General features: G+C 40.6%; 1 protein-coding gene across 93 annotated transcripts in view, besides 6 other annotated features; it reads right to left on the bottom strand.

The window, feature by feature from the left end:
• ZBTB38 (zinc finger and BTB domain containing 38) overlaps positions 1 to 16,694 on the bottom strand; it is a 125,607-nt gene that overhangs the window by 55,220 nt on the left and 53,693 nt on the right. For 33 of the 93 annotated variants that reach the window (XM_047447856.1, XM_047447857.1, NM_001080412.3 and 30 more), the window contains 2 exons: positions 13,086 to 13,148; positions 7,636 to 7,701 (listed from right to left, as the gene is read on the bottom strand). The exons of 1 other annotated variant lie outside the window; for it this stretch is intronic. The gene's annotated coding sequence lies outside the window, so the exon portion shown is untranslated. Of the gene's footprint in view, positions 1 to 6,685; positions 7,133 to 7,635; positions 7,704 to 7,817; positions 8,149 to 8,514; positions 8,555 to 9,697; positions 9,769 to 10,863; positions 10,914 to 13,085; positions 13,149 to 16,694 lie in introns of those variants that run through there. 59 more of the 93 variants (NM_001387970.1, NM_001376125.1, XM_047447869.1 and 56 more) reach the window with 15 other exon arrangements.
• Positions 407 to 1,017: an enhancer, noted in NCBI's record as "NANOG-H3K27ac-H3K4me1 hESC enhancer chr3:141112398-141113008 (GRCh37/hg19 assembly coordinates)". NCBI's record gives its function as "activates a minimal SCP1, AML or CMV promoter by ChIP-STARR-seq in naive and primed H9 embryonic stem cells {active_cell/tissue: H9 hESC(naive and primed)}" and the evidence as "EXISTENCE:reporter gene assay evidence [ECO:0000049][PMID:30033119]".
• Positions 1,018 to 1,627: an enhancer, noted in NCBI's record as "NANOG-H3K27ac-H3K4me1 hESC enhancer chr3:141111788-141112397 (GRCh37/hg19 assembly coordinates)". NCBI's record gives its function as "activates a minimal SCP1, AML or CMV promoter by ChIP-STARR-seq in primed H9 embryonic stem cells {active_cell/tissue: H9 hESC(primed)}" and the evidence as "EXISTENCE:reporter gene assay evidence [ECO:0000049][PMID:30033119]".
• Positions 6,788 to 7,017: an enhancer, noted in NCBI's record as "active region_20630". NCBI's record gives its function as "activates an Ori minimal core promoter by ATAC-STARR-seq in GM12878 lymphoblastoid cells {active_cell/tissue: GM12878}" and the evidence as "EXISTENCE:reporter gene assay evidence [ECO:0000049][PMID:35858748]".
• Positions 14,706 to 14,755: a silencer, noted in NCBI's record as "silent region_14774". NCBI's record gives its function as "represses an Ori minimal core promoter by ATAC-STARR-seq in GM12878 lymphoblastoid cells {active_cell/tissue: GM12878}" and the evidence as "EXISTENCE:reporter gene assay evidence [ECO:0000049][PMID:35858748]".
• Positions 14,886 to 14,975: an enhancer, noted in NCBI's record as "active region_20629". NCBI's record gives its function as "activates an Ori minimal core promoter by ATAC-STARR-seq in GM12878 lymphoblastoid cells {active_cell/tissue: GM12878}" and the evidence as "EXISTENCE:reporter gene assay evidence [ECO:0000049][PMID:35858748]".
• Positions 15,006 to 15,155: an enhancer, noted in NCBI's record as "active region_20628". NCBI's record gives its function as "activates an Ori minimal core promoter by ATAC-STARR-seq in GM12878 lymphoblastoid cells {active_cell/tissue: GM12878}" and the evidence as "EXISTENCE:reporter gene assay evidence [ECO:0000049][PMID:35858748]".

The raw sequence follows: 16,694 nt of genomic DNA, 5'->3' as shown, positions 1-16,694 counted from the left end.
GGGAAAATAATTTCTAAAATCTGCAGTGTACAGCAAGTATTTTGGGTAGGTCTTCAGTCTGTGCTTTGTAGATGACCAAAAGCACTTGATCACATAGCATGAATAAAAAGTCTGCTTATTTCATTTAATGTTTAATTCAGATCTAGTACAGTGATGGGGAGGAGGGTGGTAGGGGGTGGTGAGGAGTGGTGGTAAGGGGACCCTCTGGCATCCTCAGCATGTAGAATAGGAGACTTGGGAGAGAAATGGAAAGTTCAGGCTGGGCGCGGTGGCTCACGCCTGTAATCCCAGCACTTTGGGAGGCTGAGGCGGGCGGATCGCGAGGTCAACAGATTGAGACCATCCTGGCCAACATGGTGAAACCCCGTCTGTACTAAAAAAAATAAATACAAAAATTAGATGGGCATGGTGGTGCATGCCTGTAGTCCCAGCTACTCAGGAGGCTGAGGCAGAAGAATCACTTGAACCCAAGAGGCGGAGGTTGCAGTGACCTGAGATTGCGTCACTGCACTCCAGCCTGGCAACAGAACAAGACTCCGTTTCAAAAAAAAAAAAGAAAGAAAAGAAAGAAAGAAAAAAAAAAGAAATGGAAAGTTCTTATGACTCTGTAGTAAATAAATCACCTTTAAGGACATCAATCTGTAGGCGCTTCACAATCGCCAACGTGGGGCCATTAAGTAGCAAGGCCAACATTATGAGCGAAGCCAGAGAGTACATCATAGCACCCAGTCTGTATGCCGTAGGCCTGCAACCTGCATTTAAGGTCTCTCCTGAGCCTTCTTTTTCTAGTTGCAACCCCTTCCCACTTTCTCCCTGGTACCTTGTTCCCCCAGCTCCATGGCGCAGCAGAGCGGCATCTCCTTTTGTCCCCCTGGCTGCCTCCTGACTGCTTCCTTTGTTCCCTCTTTCTTATCTTCTGCATCCTCACCCTGCCCCCATGCTGCCCTCTCTATCTACAGCCAGCTCCCCATTTTGCTTCCCAGATGACCACCCCATTCTCTTCCGCACTGTTCCCCAGTACCCTGAGTACTTCAGAGAATCTTTCCATGGTGTAGTTCCTTCCTTTCCCTGCTCCAGGTTCCTCTCTTCCCTTCCTCAGTTCAAGAAACAAGAGAAAAGGAAAAAAAAATGACAAGGGCACTGCCCTTCTGGGATTTAACCACACTCTCAGCTGGTGGCTTTTGTTTTCTGGCTTCACTGGCTTGTAAGGCCCTCAGGGCAGGGACTCTACGTCATGCTCAGCGCTGGGGAAGGTCGGCAGGACTGTCAGGCCTTAATTAGAGCAAGGCCTCAGACAGGGTGGGAGATTTTAGCAAGCAAGAGGAAAAGAAATTTCAAAATATCCATTTGGCAGCAATGACCACAGAGTAAGGAAGAGGATTGTTTTATTGTAGAAAGCATATAATGAAAGCCTCCACTGCTTTTCATGAGCACAGAAAGAATATTTACACTGGCAATTTTCAAACCAAACAGCACCAGAAAACAAACTCCCTCCACAGGCCAAACATAGGGAGTGTTCAGTCTTGAACCCTGAGCAGGAATTGCTGCAGAAGCAAGGAGAACATTAAGGGGGAAAAAGTGCAAAATGAGTTATGAGATCAAAAGAGCAATTTTCTGGTCAATGAGACATTTAGGCTAAGGCAGTGGCATGCTGGGATCACCTAACAAAGACAATTGATTTTGCAACTGGTCTCTGATTTACCTGCTGCCCGGAAAGCCTTCTGCAGAACAGCCAGCATGGAGACCCCCCACTGTCAACCAGGGAAGGTAAGAAAGCAAAAACATCTTGCCTACATCACAAATTCAAATTTTTGCATTTGAGGGCTTCTCAACTTAACATCTGCTCATGAATGCAAAAGTGGCAGCCGTTATTGAGGTCACCTGGCAATGCAGGCGGACCAGCTTGAAGAAGGGCAGCCAGACATACGGTGGCTTATTAGGAGCCAAGACATCTCGGGAAGGTGGTGAGGTCAAGACACAAAGTCCAAGTGAAGAACTGTCCTTGTCATCAGCTGAAATGCCCCAAACTGAGGGATGGCCTCTAGCGAACAGTATAAAAGGCCATTAAGAGAACAGCATGCCATTTATTTCTTCCTGGAACAGGGAGGATACACAATTGTACTTGTCCATACAATGCTCTACCCTTGTGTGGGAACCTGGACTGCAGTTTCATAGGGGGACTATGTCATATTTCATTCTGCTTGGCTTATAGCAGTGTTTGGCACATAGCAGATGCTCAACAAATGCTCAAAGAAGTAAACTGAATTGTTGCAGTCCCCTTCCCCACTAATGGGCAGAGAGCCCCTTTACCACCAGCCCCCTTCCCCACTCTACTACAAAGGAACCGAACAAGCTTGTCTTCATGTTGTGGAATGTTTCAGGGCCTCTCAAAACCCAACGAAGTATAACATGCCAGCCAGGCCGCCTCTACTGTGATAAGCAAAGTCAGCTAAGTAATGAATCAATTTTAGACGGTGCTTCTGAAATGTTTAGAAGGCTCAAAAGAGCCTTATAGTTTCTAACTCACATAGCAAACTTCTCCCTTTGTTCCCTGACCTTTGTCAACAGAATAACCTGAAAAGCATGAAAGAGTTCTGGTTCTTAAGAAGAATTTTTTAAAGAATGACTTGCTCTAATAGAGGAAAAAAAACCTCACTAGTTCTTTAGAAAGCCACCAACAGGCAAAGATGTGTGCAGAGCTGAAGCGTTTTAGCAAAACCTGAAAAAAACTTCACTCTGATGGGAGGCATTTTAGGACTAAGACAATCTACTGGCCAGATGAGATGAGATGAGACAAACCCTTCCACCATTTTGCCTTTGAAAAAAATTCAATGACTATCTCAATGTTTTGCCATTGGTTTAAATTCCAGAATTCTTATGAAAAATAAAGCAAGAGGCTTCTCAGAAATTTCTCTACTCTGAGAGGTCTTTCTTCTGTGCATTTCTTGGGTTGACACTGAATCTGTGCCAGAATTTCATCACCACCTAGCACTGCAATGTACTCTACCTTCTGAAGCAGTTTCAGGGTCGTGACGGGGTCAAAGGCAATGACCCCATGAGTACCAGACTCTGGGAGTTTGACTGGCTAAAACCAGTCACAGGGACCTGGGCCATCCTCTTACTGTAGGGGAAGCTTACCTAAGTTAAGCCTCAGTCCTTGAAACTGTCAGACCTGGCTCTGAGATAGCAACATTTACACAAAGAAAGGAAAGTTTGAAGGCTGAGCATGAGCACTCCTCTCCTGGTAATGCCCCACGTCAGATCTTCACCTGACTAGATCCTTCTCAGCACACGATCTTCACTTAAATGCTACATCCTCAGAACATTCTGATCAACCATTTTAAAGTGGCTCTCCTCCCTAGAACCACATAACCCTCACTTATTTTATTTTTTTTAATTTTAATTTTTTTTTAGAGAAAGAGTCTTGCTTTTTTGCCCAGGCTGGAGTGCAGTAGTATGATTCTAGCTCACTGCAACCTCGAACTCCTGGGCTCAAGTAATACTCCTACCTCAGCCTCCGGCATAGCTAGGACTACAGGTGCACACCAGCCACCGTGTCCAGTTAATTTTTAAAATTTTTTGTGGAGATGGGGTCTTGCTATGTTGCCCAGGCTGGTCTCAAACTCCTGGTCTCAAGCAATCCTCCCGTCTTGGCTTCCCAAAGTGTTGGGGTTACAGGCATGAGCCACTGTGCCTGGCCCACTTTCATTTTAAAATTTTTAATTTTCCTCTGTGCACTTGCCTTCTTTATTTACATCTATATTTTTGCTTATTCCCCTCCCTGCAAGCACCCTCCCGTCCTCTGGAATATGCCTGGCATGTAGCAGATGCTCAATAAATGTGTTGACTGTTTATTTACCAAGAGAGCTGTTAAGAACAGGATTTCCCTTGGAAAGGAGCTGTTAGAATGAACCACATGGTACCAGGAACTTAAAGACTTAGCATGACCTAGTACTAAAGAGAAAGTGCTAGATCTCTTTCTAGATTCTTCTCACATAACAGTGAAGAGGCTCTAAGTCATAGTCTGATTCCCAGTCCATCTCCGGGGGATCCATGGAAATGGATGGGGTAGATCAATACCACTCTAGTATTATGGCAAGAGATGCAATCTTGGTATTATAGTATTATAAATATTATAGTATTTTATATTATAAATCATTCCAACAGAAAACCACATATTTGCCCATTTTGTTTTGGTGAGAACAGTGCAATTGTTTGCACAGTCTTGCTGTCACACCTGCTCTGGCCTGCCCAGTAAAAATACCGGAGCCAAAAAGTGTAAATGGGTTCAGGATAGCTTTTCAAACAATGAGATGGGGTAAGTGCCATCCTCTACAATCATCAAGAAGCATTTTCAGCTAATCTTGGAAATTCAATAATAATTGTAAATGGGTAAGTTTAGGAAAGCTTTGTGCCTTGTCAAGATTGCTGTGAAATATGAAGGCAAAGTATTAAGGTGAAACACAACGAAGTAATATATAGTAATTATTATTCTATTCACTGGTTTATTTATTAGAATGACGATGGTACGATACACTTCCCAACAATCTTATTTGGCTTTCTAGATCCTTGAATTGGGTTTAAAATTCTTTTAGGCAAGACTAAGAGCAACATAAGTGAATAATGCCACAAAAAAACGCCATTAAGTATGAAAATCTACAAGATGACGCAACCATGCTTGAGTCACAAACAAAAGAATCGACATTCTATAAAGAAGAAATACACTGTTGAATCTATCAGGCATTCATTTTAATGGTAAAACAATTGCATTGCATCCATCTAATCTTGTAATTAAGATTCAAATAGGTGCAAAATGATTACTTTGTACTGGCCTATCAAAATAGAAGACATTGTAGTTATAAGCTTTCTGACTAGCAGTAGTGTTTTAATTATAAATGCCTGGCTCATTATTTGCTCAAGAGCGAATGACAATTAGCTTGATCCTATTGCAACTGTTAATGCTGTTGGTACTAAAAAAAATAGGCAATATTGAATCAGGTTTCTGATATTTCCCTTCAGTTTACAATCTTCTGATTGATACTATATTCAAAATGTACTTAGTCATTTAAAGTCACAGGCAAGAAGGAAAATGGCTCCCAACAGCCAAAAAAAAAAAAAAAAAAGGTGTTGCAGGAAGGGTATTTCATGGCAAGCCTGGAGAACAAAATCAGTATGAGATGAATCACGTTCCAAAATAATTGAACCAGAGAAAGACTCCAAGCAAAATATTTTAGTTGGCCACAAAACAACATGACAACAACCACCACCACCCTTCAGCCCATTAGAGAGGTTCAATTCTACGATAGTGCTATGGAATAGAATATTAGTTAAACTGCTAGAATAAAGCAGCCATTTACACAGATGGTTTTGAATCTCAATGTTCTTCACATTGAAGCAAACCTCGGGGAGGTTTCAGGTTTAGCACCATCTTCCTAACACACCTATAGAGATATTTCCACAAAGGTTCAGGGTGCACTTGTCATTGGAGGGGTAGGCTTGGATGTGGGTCCTTTTCTACCGACAGCACTGAGGTTACCAACGGAGGGATCAGGGAAGGCAAGAGTACAAGCATTTTCTGATTCTCAGAATTTCTGAAATACCTTTTGTTTCAGTGGCGCTGGTGAACTTGTGATAATGAAACTACACCTCTGTACACAAACCTTGACCTGCATTCTGGAGCATACTGCAAAGAAAACCTTAATTTTGAAAGTACTGAGCACAAAGGAGGGAGAGAAAAGCTGTCACTGTGCAAGCTTTCTCTATATGTTTAGAAACATGGCTTAATTTTTAAGGCTTGAAGACCGCATTAAAAACCATCTAAAACCAGTTCAGATTCTATATGAGAGGAAAAAGAACTGTAAATTTTTCATTAAACATTTGTTTCCTTTTTAAAGACATTCTTTTGCATATCTGTTATTACATGTTTAAATACGATTTGGTTACCAAGGAAACAGGTTCTGGCCCAGTGTTAAATTTGAAACTAAAATATATTTGAGAAGTTAAGTTCAAAAGAAAGAGCTCATGAAATTATTTTGAAAAGTGCCAGAACCACAGCTATATGGTCTGCAATGAACCATTCTAGGGGCTCGGTTTCATTTAGTGAAGCTCTATTTCTTTTAAGAGGGCCATCTATATTTAATATTTCCCTCTTTAAAAATTGTAACTCCTCATCCCCCCAAATTATATACATAATATAATGTATTCTTGTATATTACCTAAAATTAATTTTGGAAGCATATCAGTTTTTATTTTCATCTTTCATAAACACGTTTAAAGACCGCTTCTTAAAATTTAAATATTTTTAATGTTTCTTATTAAGCTTGTTTACGCTCTTTGAAATCATCTCCAGAAACCCATTTATTTTTAGTTTCAAGCTGAAATGGAGCTGAATCATCACTCTTTTCAAAAAATTCTTTTGTTGTCTAATGGCACCACACCTATCATATATATGATTTTTTTTTAAAAAAAATCTCCCTTTTATGGCAGAATCATTTACTAAGTTTGTAAAAGCTATACATTTATATACTATCTGAATAGCAGAGGCTGTCCAATTAAAAACCCTCCCCCAAAAGATTACAGCTGTCTTATTTAATTTTTGTTTTTTTAAAAGTCATATTCTAATGCATCTAATGTTCTTGCTGCATGGCTCAAAAAAAACTATAAAAACATGCAAATTTCAACCTACCTGTATGCATCACTTAATGCAGTGCTAGCATGACAAGACACTCAGCCATTTTTATGTAAAGCGATGGAGACCAACTGATTTCTCTGTCTTCTTGCTCACAAGTTTTAGATGCAATTGTCACATACACACAAAAATCATACGCAGAACAGCTTGAATGAACTGTGATCACAGAACTGAATTTATCAACAGGAAAACAGGATTGAAAAAAGAAGTTTCTCATCCAAGGTTTTTCTGAGACTGCAACCAAGGAGGTGGTGTGTTGAATTTTTTTCCCCTTCCTCCTCTGAGAGTTCAAAGCTCGGAGCTGACCACTGCAAAGGCCACTGTCACATTTGCTGAAAATCAAACCACTGATACCAGCATTGAAAATACAAATTTGAGAACCCAAGTTGCTTGCACATGATGGAGTGCATAAGAGTTAAAAATAGAATCCACCTTGCCTCCTACCTGCATAATAAACATGTAAGTTTCAAGTGTTTAATTTGATATTCACATTAATTAACAATACAACATACATTATTTAAAAGACAGCAAATGCACGAAGAAAGGAGAGACACCATCTGGTAGCAGAGTTTTGTTGTTGTTGTTTTTGTTTTTAGGGTTTGTGGGGGGTTTTGGTTTTGTTAAAAAAAAAAAGGTAAAATCATATTTTGAATGTGATGAAAAACAAACATCCAGAAGCAAATGAATTGGAAATGAAAGGTGATGTTGAAATATCTAAGGCTGTAATGAGGCAAAAACAAGTCTTCGCTACCAGATGATATGGCATACAGAGCATTTACATACTCACATCTGAAATACTAGGCAACGTGTAATGAATTCTAGACACAGCATGCACACACAGCACAAGCACGGCTAATCCTGCCTGCCATCTTAGGCTCGCAGAAGCAAGATACGCACTGCATGCAGCACACGAGCACTGGGGAAGGAGGAGGCAAGGGACAGCTCACCTTAAATGCAGTATCTGATTAATGTTGTAAGTGACATTGCATATCAGCCTCAGAGTCTTGGTTCAACTGGGTAGGAGGGAACAAAGAAAAATGTCATCAACTGGTGATGCAAGATGAGCCCAATCACTAAACACTGTTTAGTAAACTCCAAATTCTGCAACCAGACAGAAGGCATTTCATACACTTAAGCAGAGCTGCTCCACAATGAATGTGTCCTTCTGCTTCTGAGAATCAAACAATCCTTTTGCTAAGGAAGAAAATAAGCTGGAAAGAACACTCTCATATTCTCTTCCTGAAGAAAGCTTTCAATACAGTATGTATCTGGTCCGGGATGCATTTTATAGATGTTAATTTTATAGAATTGCTAAGAAAAAACCAAAACTGTTAAGCTCTTGCAAAGTAAAAAATAATTTTGATAAAGGGTATAGCATTTCTAGATTATTTTTCAAAATCCTAAATGGTGCCGGCAGGCTTGTAGAAAAATGCATGATCAGCTGTCTGTATCCGTGCTATAACCTTTAACCACAAGCAGTGTAAATGTATCCTGCTAAATGTATCTGCAGTACAGAGCGGCAGATACCGCCTCAGAATTTTATTAAAATGTGAATGGATTTTTTAAAACTTGGAAGCAGAATAAAATCAGAACAGAAAAATAAATTGATGCTGAATTCCTCTGGCTGTATAGCTGACCATCATGAACGATTAAAGCTATCCTTAGGATACTGACCTAAATAATACTAAGACTTACAGCAGCATACTGTATGCGTTCAGAACACAGAAAATGCAAAATGATTTATCTTCTCCCTCCCCCTCCAAAAGCTAAATTTTAAAGTAACAAGCCATTAATAGGAATACCAAAAGGCTATAGATAGTACATACTGTAAGAGAAGAAATCGTGTTGTGCTGAGATGCAATGTTTCTTTGTTTTACTTTGAGGCTTATTTTAGCTATGCTTGCATGATGACATTGACATCAGGAGGTCAGTGCTGACACTGGGTTGATATCCGTTTTATGAGTGAAATGTTTTCCGAAAATTAAATCTCATCTACTCAAACACCAAATTTCATGTCATCTTCAAAACCACCTCCCTACCCCCACTGCTCAAGATTGATGGGATCTAGTTTGGTGGTATGTAATAAATTGGAATCACCTTCTGCAGATAGTTCAATATGTAATGGTGAGGAATTAATTTTTTAAATAAAAAACATTCAAGAATTCTTATGCACCCCCTTTCATTCCTTCCTATCAACACACGCGCACACACACACACACACACACACACACACACTCAAAGCTCGAATTGCAATGAAATGTTTAACATGTGGAACAAAAACTGTTGAAAGAGCTGCTTATTCAGGATTTTTAAGAAATGCCTAATAAGCAAATACGGTTTTGCTGCAAAACCAGTGTCACCAGGTCCCCAAAGAGGAAAACAGCATAGCTTGCTAGCAAAATTTCCTCCAGATCCTGCCGGCAGGTAAAAAAACAAAAAAGCATTTTATTTGCCATGCTGTATAAAACAAGAAGTCTTTTATTTTTAAGGAAATAGAACAGATTCTTTTCCACTCTATAGCTACAAAGAAACCATACCCACCCCCACCCTTAGATCCTGGACATAAGCCAACATTTTTATAAAATGCTGAGACTGATTTTGAATATATAATATTTATAGTTTTCTTCTTCTTATCTCTCCAAAAGTCTTTAATTGCCTATTGCATCACTGAATATGCTGTTGTTAATTTTAACGCTTGCAAAAATGAATTAATATTTTCTGGGGTTGCTAGTTTTCCAGCACCTCAATCTTCTGTAAGGACTGGCTGAAAATAATCAGGTTAGCAACACATTGAAGCTCCCCAGAATTTTTTTAAAAGAGAAAATATGTTCAAACACCTTAGCTGAGGTACTAGGTTTCACAACTGGATCTTTTGTTTCTAGCTCTCATGCTATCTCCTGCCCCAGAGCATAAGTGATTTTTAGCTTAGTGTATGGAATGTACCCTGCCCTCCTATATCCTATACACTTTAAAGTCTCTGAGTTGAGTTGTCCAGATGGTGGGTCATACCTGAACCATAGCAAGAGTCCTCTTCTCTTTGGAGTACATCTCTCTCCCACAACTACTCCAGAAATAAATGTGGCTCTAACGAAAACAGTAGCTCCTGGTCTCACACCAATGGTGGAACCATCTTCCCCACCCCCACATCATTGCTCTATGAGCTCTGGTTAGCATTGACAGCGTCAGAAAATTAGAATGGAGTGTCCTTAGGCCAATTCCTCCTTTACCATGGGGGTCGAGAATTAGAGAGATGATCACGCTGAGTTATAAGGCACCAATTCAATATACGGTCATCTGTGAAGCAGAGTCCTTAGAGTGGGGTGGGAGGAGGTTGACGCAAACACCTAGGCATTGAATGCTCTTCATGTCTGTTGAGATATTCCCCATCAATGACGTTTGAAAGCTAGACATTCATTTAAAAATACTCGCAAATTATTATCATGTAGGCTAAATATACATGTTATGGAATCAACTCTGACCACATAGAACTAAGTCATCTGCCTCCTCTGTCGGGAATAATAAATGACAGTGACAACAACAGTAATCCATATTAGGCTCCCAGGAGATGAGTAAATAGTGTTCTATTCCCTTTACAGGGAAGGGTGGTGAATGTGGTCAGGTCCCCTACTGGTACTTGTAAGCCAGATGCCAGGGCAGTTTCCAAACCCCCTGTGGGGTTCTCTGTCCACCCTCTGTCAAAACTAGCCTAAAAGCCATGTATTGGTTTATTTTGTGATGTTCCAAGACACTCAATCAGTAAACGTGGTACGTTTACCAGACCTGCTCGGGTTAAACAAATGTGAACTATAGTTGAAAATATTCAAAGCAATGAGCTTGTTTAGGCAGACATTCTCAACTAGTAAATCCTGTTTTATACTTTCAGAAAACCATGCCCATGCCTGAATTACTTAAGCTTTGTCATGATTACTAGTGGCAAGGGTATGCATTCACTTATGATTTAAAAAAATTGCGTGCTTCTCATCAGCCTCCTCGGGGCATGTGCACAAACATTAATTTAAAAGGCAAATCCCTTTTCCACAGTGAACATTTTAGCCTGTTTCTGCCACTTTGACGAGTCAAACACGAGGAACCCGAAATAATCTGGCAGGCACAGGCTGGAGAAGGACGGAGCTAGACGTGAGGGGTGAGCCTTTCACTTTGATTAACGTGCTTACTTGCTCGTGGTCTCGTTGTTCTGCAGGCTGAGCTAATTTTCTTTGCAGTCCTGTGGGTTAAAGTTAAATTGCACGGCTAATGCAATGTACATAATTCAAGTATGAACAAAGCTTGACTCTCTATGTTTTAAAAAACATAAAGTCAGGGCACTGAGTCCCAGAGGAATACTTGGTTTATAAACATTTGGATCAGTTTGCATGTTCCTTTATGCCATTCACCACATTAAACATTACAGCTGGGTTCTTTTTACACCTAATAGAGGTAGTCAACATTTGTGGGTACATTGTTGTCAGGTTAGGCTATTCCAATTGAAATTAAAAGAAAAATAAAAGTGTTTACCAAATACACTTTTGTTTAAATTCTTAATATTTAAAAAGTTTAAGATTTTTTAATGAGGTTGGTTATTACATCTGTCTATAGCGTATTTAGTCCTGGAAACAACATGGTGATTTAATTTACAAATGACCAAAAATGCCTTTGGATTTTTGAGAAAGTTCAAAGCTACTTTGAACATCTACATCTTGCCTAGAGACCTGGGCAGGAACTTCTGCCTTCCACATTGATCAGAGCTAAAAAGTCTACACTAGCTGCCCTTATGGAGAACCTACTACATACTCAATATTTTAGCTACACGTCCAATGTTTATTTCATTCTAACCCAATAATCCTGCAAACTGAGTACCTTCAATTTTAGGTGAGGAACTAATAGAGATTACACACAGTAAATAGCAGACTTAGGATTCAAACCTAAGTTTGATTGATTGCAAAGTCTACGTCTTTCCACCAGTCCTAAGAGGATAAAACTTCCTCCTACGTCCACACTCCATCCCTGATGTCAGTAATCTTATTATTGTGCAGACACCTGGTAGAGGACTCTATCTCCTTGGAGCCCTGACTACCTCTGTTCATATGAATCAGCCTCTACCCTCCAGGCCCTGGGAACTGTGGGAACCTAGGATGCCACCAGCTGGAGACAGGCTGGGCCCAGCAGGTGGAAAAGACACAATGAAAGAGGAGGAATCAGATGGACCATGTTGGAAAGTTAAGTGTAGAAAGCAGAGTAAATATTTTAGTGGGAGATTTGCCATAATTCAAAAAATATTTTATGAGGCAAAATAAATGAAAATAAATGACATAAATATATTTCAGATGGAATGTTTATTTTAATAAATACATTTCCACTTGAAATGTATTTATTAAAACCTAGTGGAGTCTAGTTTTTTCCCTCTCACAGGTGACCAAACAGGCCGAGAGAGATACAACGATTTGCCCAAGATCACACACTTCATAAGTGAGTTTATTATTAATGCAGCCTTTCACTATATTAAAAATTATAGCTAGTTTCCTTTTACACCCAATGTATTCAGCATTTGTGAATAAATTTGTTATCAGGTTGTTAGAGTGTTCTACTCTAAATGATCAGTTAAAGAAAAATCAGTGTAACAATCAGAGTAGCCTGTTCTCTTTTGTTTGTTTGGTTTTGGGTTCTCTTGAGACAGAGTCTCGCTATGTTGCCCAGGTGGGACTTGAACTCTCAGTCGATTCTCCCGCCTCAGCCTCCTGAGTAGCTAGGATTATAGGCTCATAACACTGTGCCCGGCTAAAACTGACCTACTTTCAACTCACAAATAGTATTTTTCTCCTGAACAGATAACCTAAGTAGCTATTATGATTTTTTTCCAACATATTTTTAAATGGAATTTTAAAAAGCCTAATTTTGAAGTAAGAGATTTTCCTCAACCAAATTTACTGCTTTATTTTATCATTAAAATGATTTAAACACTAAAATCATTTTAATGACTCTGTTTGTTAACATCTGTTCATTTTGCCTCTGTCTCAGGTCCCTTCCAGTTCTAAAAGTTTGTGATTCTAAAAAATCAAGCCCAGCTTGTTTTCTAGGTCAAGTAGGCCAAGAGCTGGACTCCAAGTCTCCTGTCTTCTGGTGTAGGTGGCCAGCTGACTATCCTGCTTCATTTGCAGTAATTGTATATGCCAACAAGATGGCTCTCAAAGGGGGCTTTCTAATCCACCAGCTCCACCCTACCTGGGAATAGGAGAGGAAGACTATCTTGCTCAACGCTCATAGGTAGTAGAATGAAGGGTTGGGTGAATGATATGCTTGAGGATTCTGAACTCCAGGAAACCTTCTCCAGTTCTTAGACATGAGCATCCTCACGTCCATCCATTAGCATCTGTGTAGGACATGAGAAAGGAGTACATACCTGTTGGCAAAGATTGGGCAGCAAGCCTTGTGGACCAAACTGGGGTTACTCTCCAGGAAAGAGCTGGAAGGAAAAGGGAACTGTAAACCATGTGTTTTTTAACAAAGGAAAAGTGGCAAATGACATAGGCTGCAAGGCAGACTGTGGTAGACAACATCTCAACCCATCCTAACCCAACTCAAATCCTCTGGTGGGAGCATCCTCAACAGGTGTCACCACCATTATGGAAATCACTACCTCGGCTTTAGCAACTGAATAGTTGCTGCTTTCATTTCTCAGTGCATCAGTGCATTTGAAACATGGCATGAGTAATGACCTTGAGTGCCCATTCCTACTACCCAATCACATGCTCATTTTCTGCCATGACTGCTTGTCACGCACCAGATGGAGAGCAAGTGAAACAACAGGGCCTTCTAGATTCTGAATTGGCAAAACACATTCAGCAAGGAAGTAGAGTTTCATCTTTTTGGAGAGACTGGCAACTAGGCTGAAAAGGGAAGGTGGGGATATAAATGAAGGTAAAAAAGTAAGAATTCTTACAGATCCATAAAAATCCACCTCATGTGAGAGCATAATCTTCTCTTTATATCTTTCTTCACACCCTGGGCAACAAATATTTCAAGACTTAAACCTGGGAATAAATTTACTTGCTTTCTCTTCTCTCAGATACATGACATTGCAGCTCAGAAAGGGCCACAACAATGCACCTCTTCTCAGTCAGAGAAGCTTAACAAACCTCAGTGAGTCTTTAACTCCTTTCGACTAAAGAAAAAAACACAATGCATTTTGGTTGTATTGAATTATCTACCTAAGCCCACGTCTCTGGCTTGCTTCCTGCAAGATCTTTGTATCTTCCAGGGCACTAGAGCATTTCCTAACACCATGGAGAGGCTCACTGAGGATGTTTTGGACTCACCAACATCAAACTCCGGAGTCCTTTCTCTACCACTACCAGTGGGATCCTCAGCTTTGTATCATGAAGCCACTTCCTAAAGTTAAAGTACTTGCTTCAGGAGTTAAGGAATGGGCTTGGGGGCTGAAAATCTCTATGAAAATCTTTCAAGCACTTAATCACTTGTTTACCAAGGGGAGCCACAAGTTGTCTGGCAAGCAGACCACAGTGCTTTGTGTAAACCTGTCTCTCCTAGAACAGGGAAAGAGGAGACAGAAATAAGAGTGGCCTGACAACACTGCCACAGCCCCCAAAGAATACCTCAACATTTCCTCAGGCCCTCAGTGGCAGAGCGTGTTTCACAGAATTAAAGGACAAGGAAGACGCTTTAGAAAATGCCATCTAAACCATTTCTTTGAGGGAGAAGAAAATTAGGTTCAAAGAGAGTAAGTGTCATATTTACATAAATGCCTCATCAATGAGCATAGAAGCCATATTCCTTAATTTCTAGCATTCTGCTCTTTGTAATTCAACACACTGACTCAATTAAAAAAAATTCTAAGCTGTCAGATACTTAAAAATAGTTATAGGTTAATTGAATTAATGACTAAATGACAGAATGGAGGGTTTATAATATGTTTTCCAATTCCTCTCAGATGAAAATATCATACTACATTTGTTTAACTAAAAACAAAACTCAACTAAATATAATTTTAAGCAAAATAGTCAATGTTGGCCAAAATATCACCTGAAACTTCTCAATGTCACTTGAGACTTGTCAGAGAACCAGACTTGATTGCTATATTAAGTCAATTGACTAAGTTTAGCCTGCTGAAGTAGCCTTTATCCTCTTTGGTTTGCAAAGAAAAATCTCATGATTTAGCATGAACGGCTAAAAATAAGCTGCAGGTTTCATTTTCCGTTGTTCAGTATGGTTTTGAAACTAAAAGGTGCAAAACTACGAGATTCACCAACGACTACGGAAAGTCAGCGATTAAAATTGTCACCTTTCTAGCACACGATCCTGGTTGCCAACTCACAGCCAGGCCCGAGAAATGAGCACCGCTGTCCCTCTCATCATGGTCTCTTGAGTTGAGTCCCTCTAATAACTAAGGCACAGTTGGAAGCTGGAGGCTGAGGCCAGTCCTGGGGTAGCAGTGGATTGTGAGTGTATTGTCACATCCGGACAGGATGCCGCATAGACTTCAGCCCATATGCTCAGCCTCCATCTTAGGTGATGCTGGGGACTCCTCTGCAGAACCTGGGAGTAAATACAGCTCGAGTTTCATTAAGATAGGGCTCCCAAGGTGGTGAGTGCAGCAAGTCCCTCTTGACCTAAATGCCCATGGCCTTGTGCAATTCCATACTGCCAACCCAGGCAGCTCACAATAAATTTAATTTCAAAACTGTCTTTCCAGGGCCAAGTCTGGCAAAAAGGTATTTGACAGGGACGTAAATGCTTCAAAGAGAAGGCAGCCATCTCACTCTGTAGCATTCAGCTGTGGCACAAGGCCCAGAGACAGCAGCGCTGTTAAAAGAAAGCCCTCAGCTGAATGAGATTGAAAGGGGGCAAAGAAGGGTTAATCTCCTTCCATTAAAGGAGGGCCCATTTGGTGAAGGTGAAGAGTGTAATCTGTATGAAGAGCAGAGCAAAGAGCCATTCCAGAAAAGAAATTACTGCACAGGGGCGAGAAGGATGATTTGTCCTTGATTTTCACCATGAGACCATTTCTTAGATCTGAATCTACCTAGCTTTGAAGTTATGGTCTCAGGGAGGGGTAAATGGGGCACATTCACATTCATTGCTGGCATACTTGAGCTTTGATTCCATCCGAGATGGGCTGTCAGTCTCTGAGAAGCAGAGGGTGCGGCCAAAGCCAGCAGGACATTGTAGACTTCAAACCACAAGTTAGAAGGCGGCAAAATAAATAGTAGGAGTTGCTCATAAAGGGGAAGCCAGGGGATAAATCCCCCTCCTCAAGGTGGGAGAACCCTGTTTTAAACATAGTTTTAACAACTTTTAAAAAGTTTTAATACCTTTTTTGTGAAATAGCATAAGACGTACAAGAAGTTATACAGTGTCTACTTTCTCCACCTTCCCCCAGTGTTGTCTTACATCGCTGTAGTACTTGGGCTAAACCAAGAAACAGATGCTGGTATAGTTCAAATAAACGCAGATACAGTCTTATGTGATTTTACCAGTTTTTACATGCACTCTGTGTGTGTGTGTGTGTACCTGTATGTCTACAGTTCTATGCAACGTATCACATGTGCAGGCTGGAGTGATGACCATCACCATCAGAATAGAGAATAGTCACCACCACAGTTCCCTGTGCTCCTCCTCTGATAATCACACCCATCCTGACAACCACTGATCTGTTCTCTATCACTGTAATTTTTTTTTTTTTTTGCTTGTTGAGACAGGGTCTCGCTCTGTCACCCAGGCTGGGGGTGCAATGGCAAAATCATGGCTTACTGCAGCCTCAAACTCCTGGGCTCAAGCAGTCTTCCCATCTCAGCCTCTCAAGTAGCTGAGACCACAGGTGCACGCCCACATATCCCGCTAGTTTTGTAAATTTTTGTAGAGATGCGGGTCTCCCTGTGTTACCCTGGCTGGTCTCGAACTCCTGGGCACTCCTGCCTCAGCCTCCCAAAGTGCTGGGATTACAAGCATGAGCCACCGTGCATGGCCTATCACTGTGATTTTGTCAGTCCAA

Source organism: Homo sapiens, chromosome 3 (genome assembly GCF_000001405.40).
Source record: "Homo sapiens chromosome 3, GRCh38.p14 Primary Assembly".
Lineage (NCBI taxonomy): Eukaryota > Metazoa > Chordata > Mammalia > Primates > Hominidae > Homo > Homo sapiens.
The sequence above is the reverse complement of the archived record's forward strand: the minus strand, read 5'-3'. Positions and strand labels throughout refer to the sequence as shown.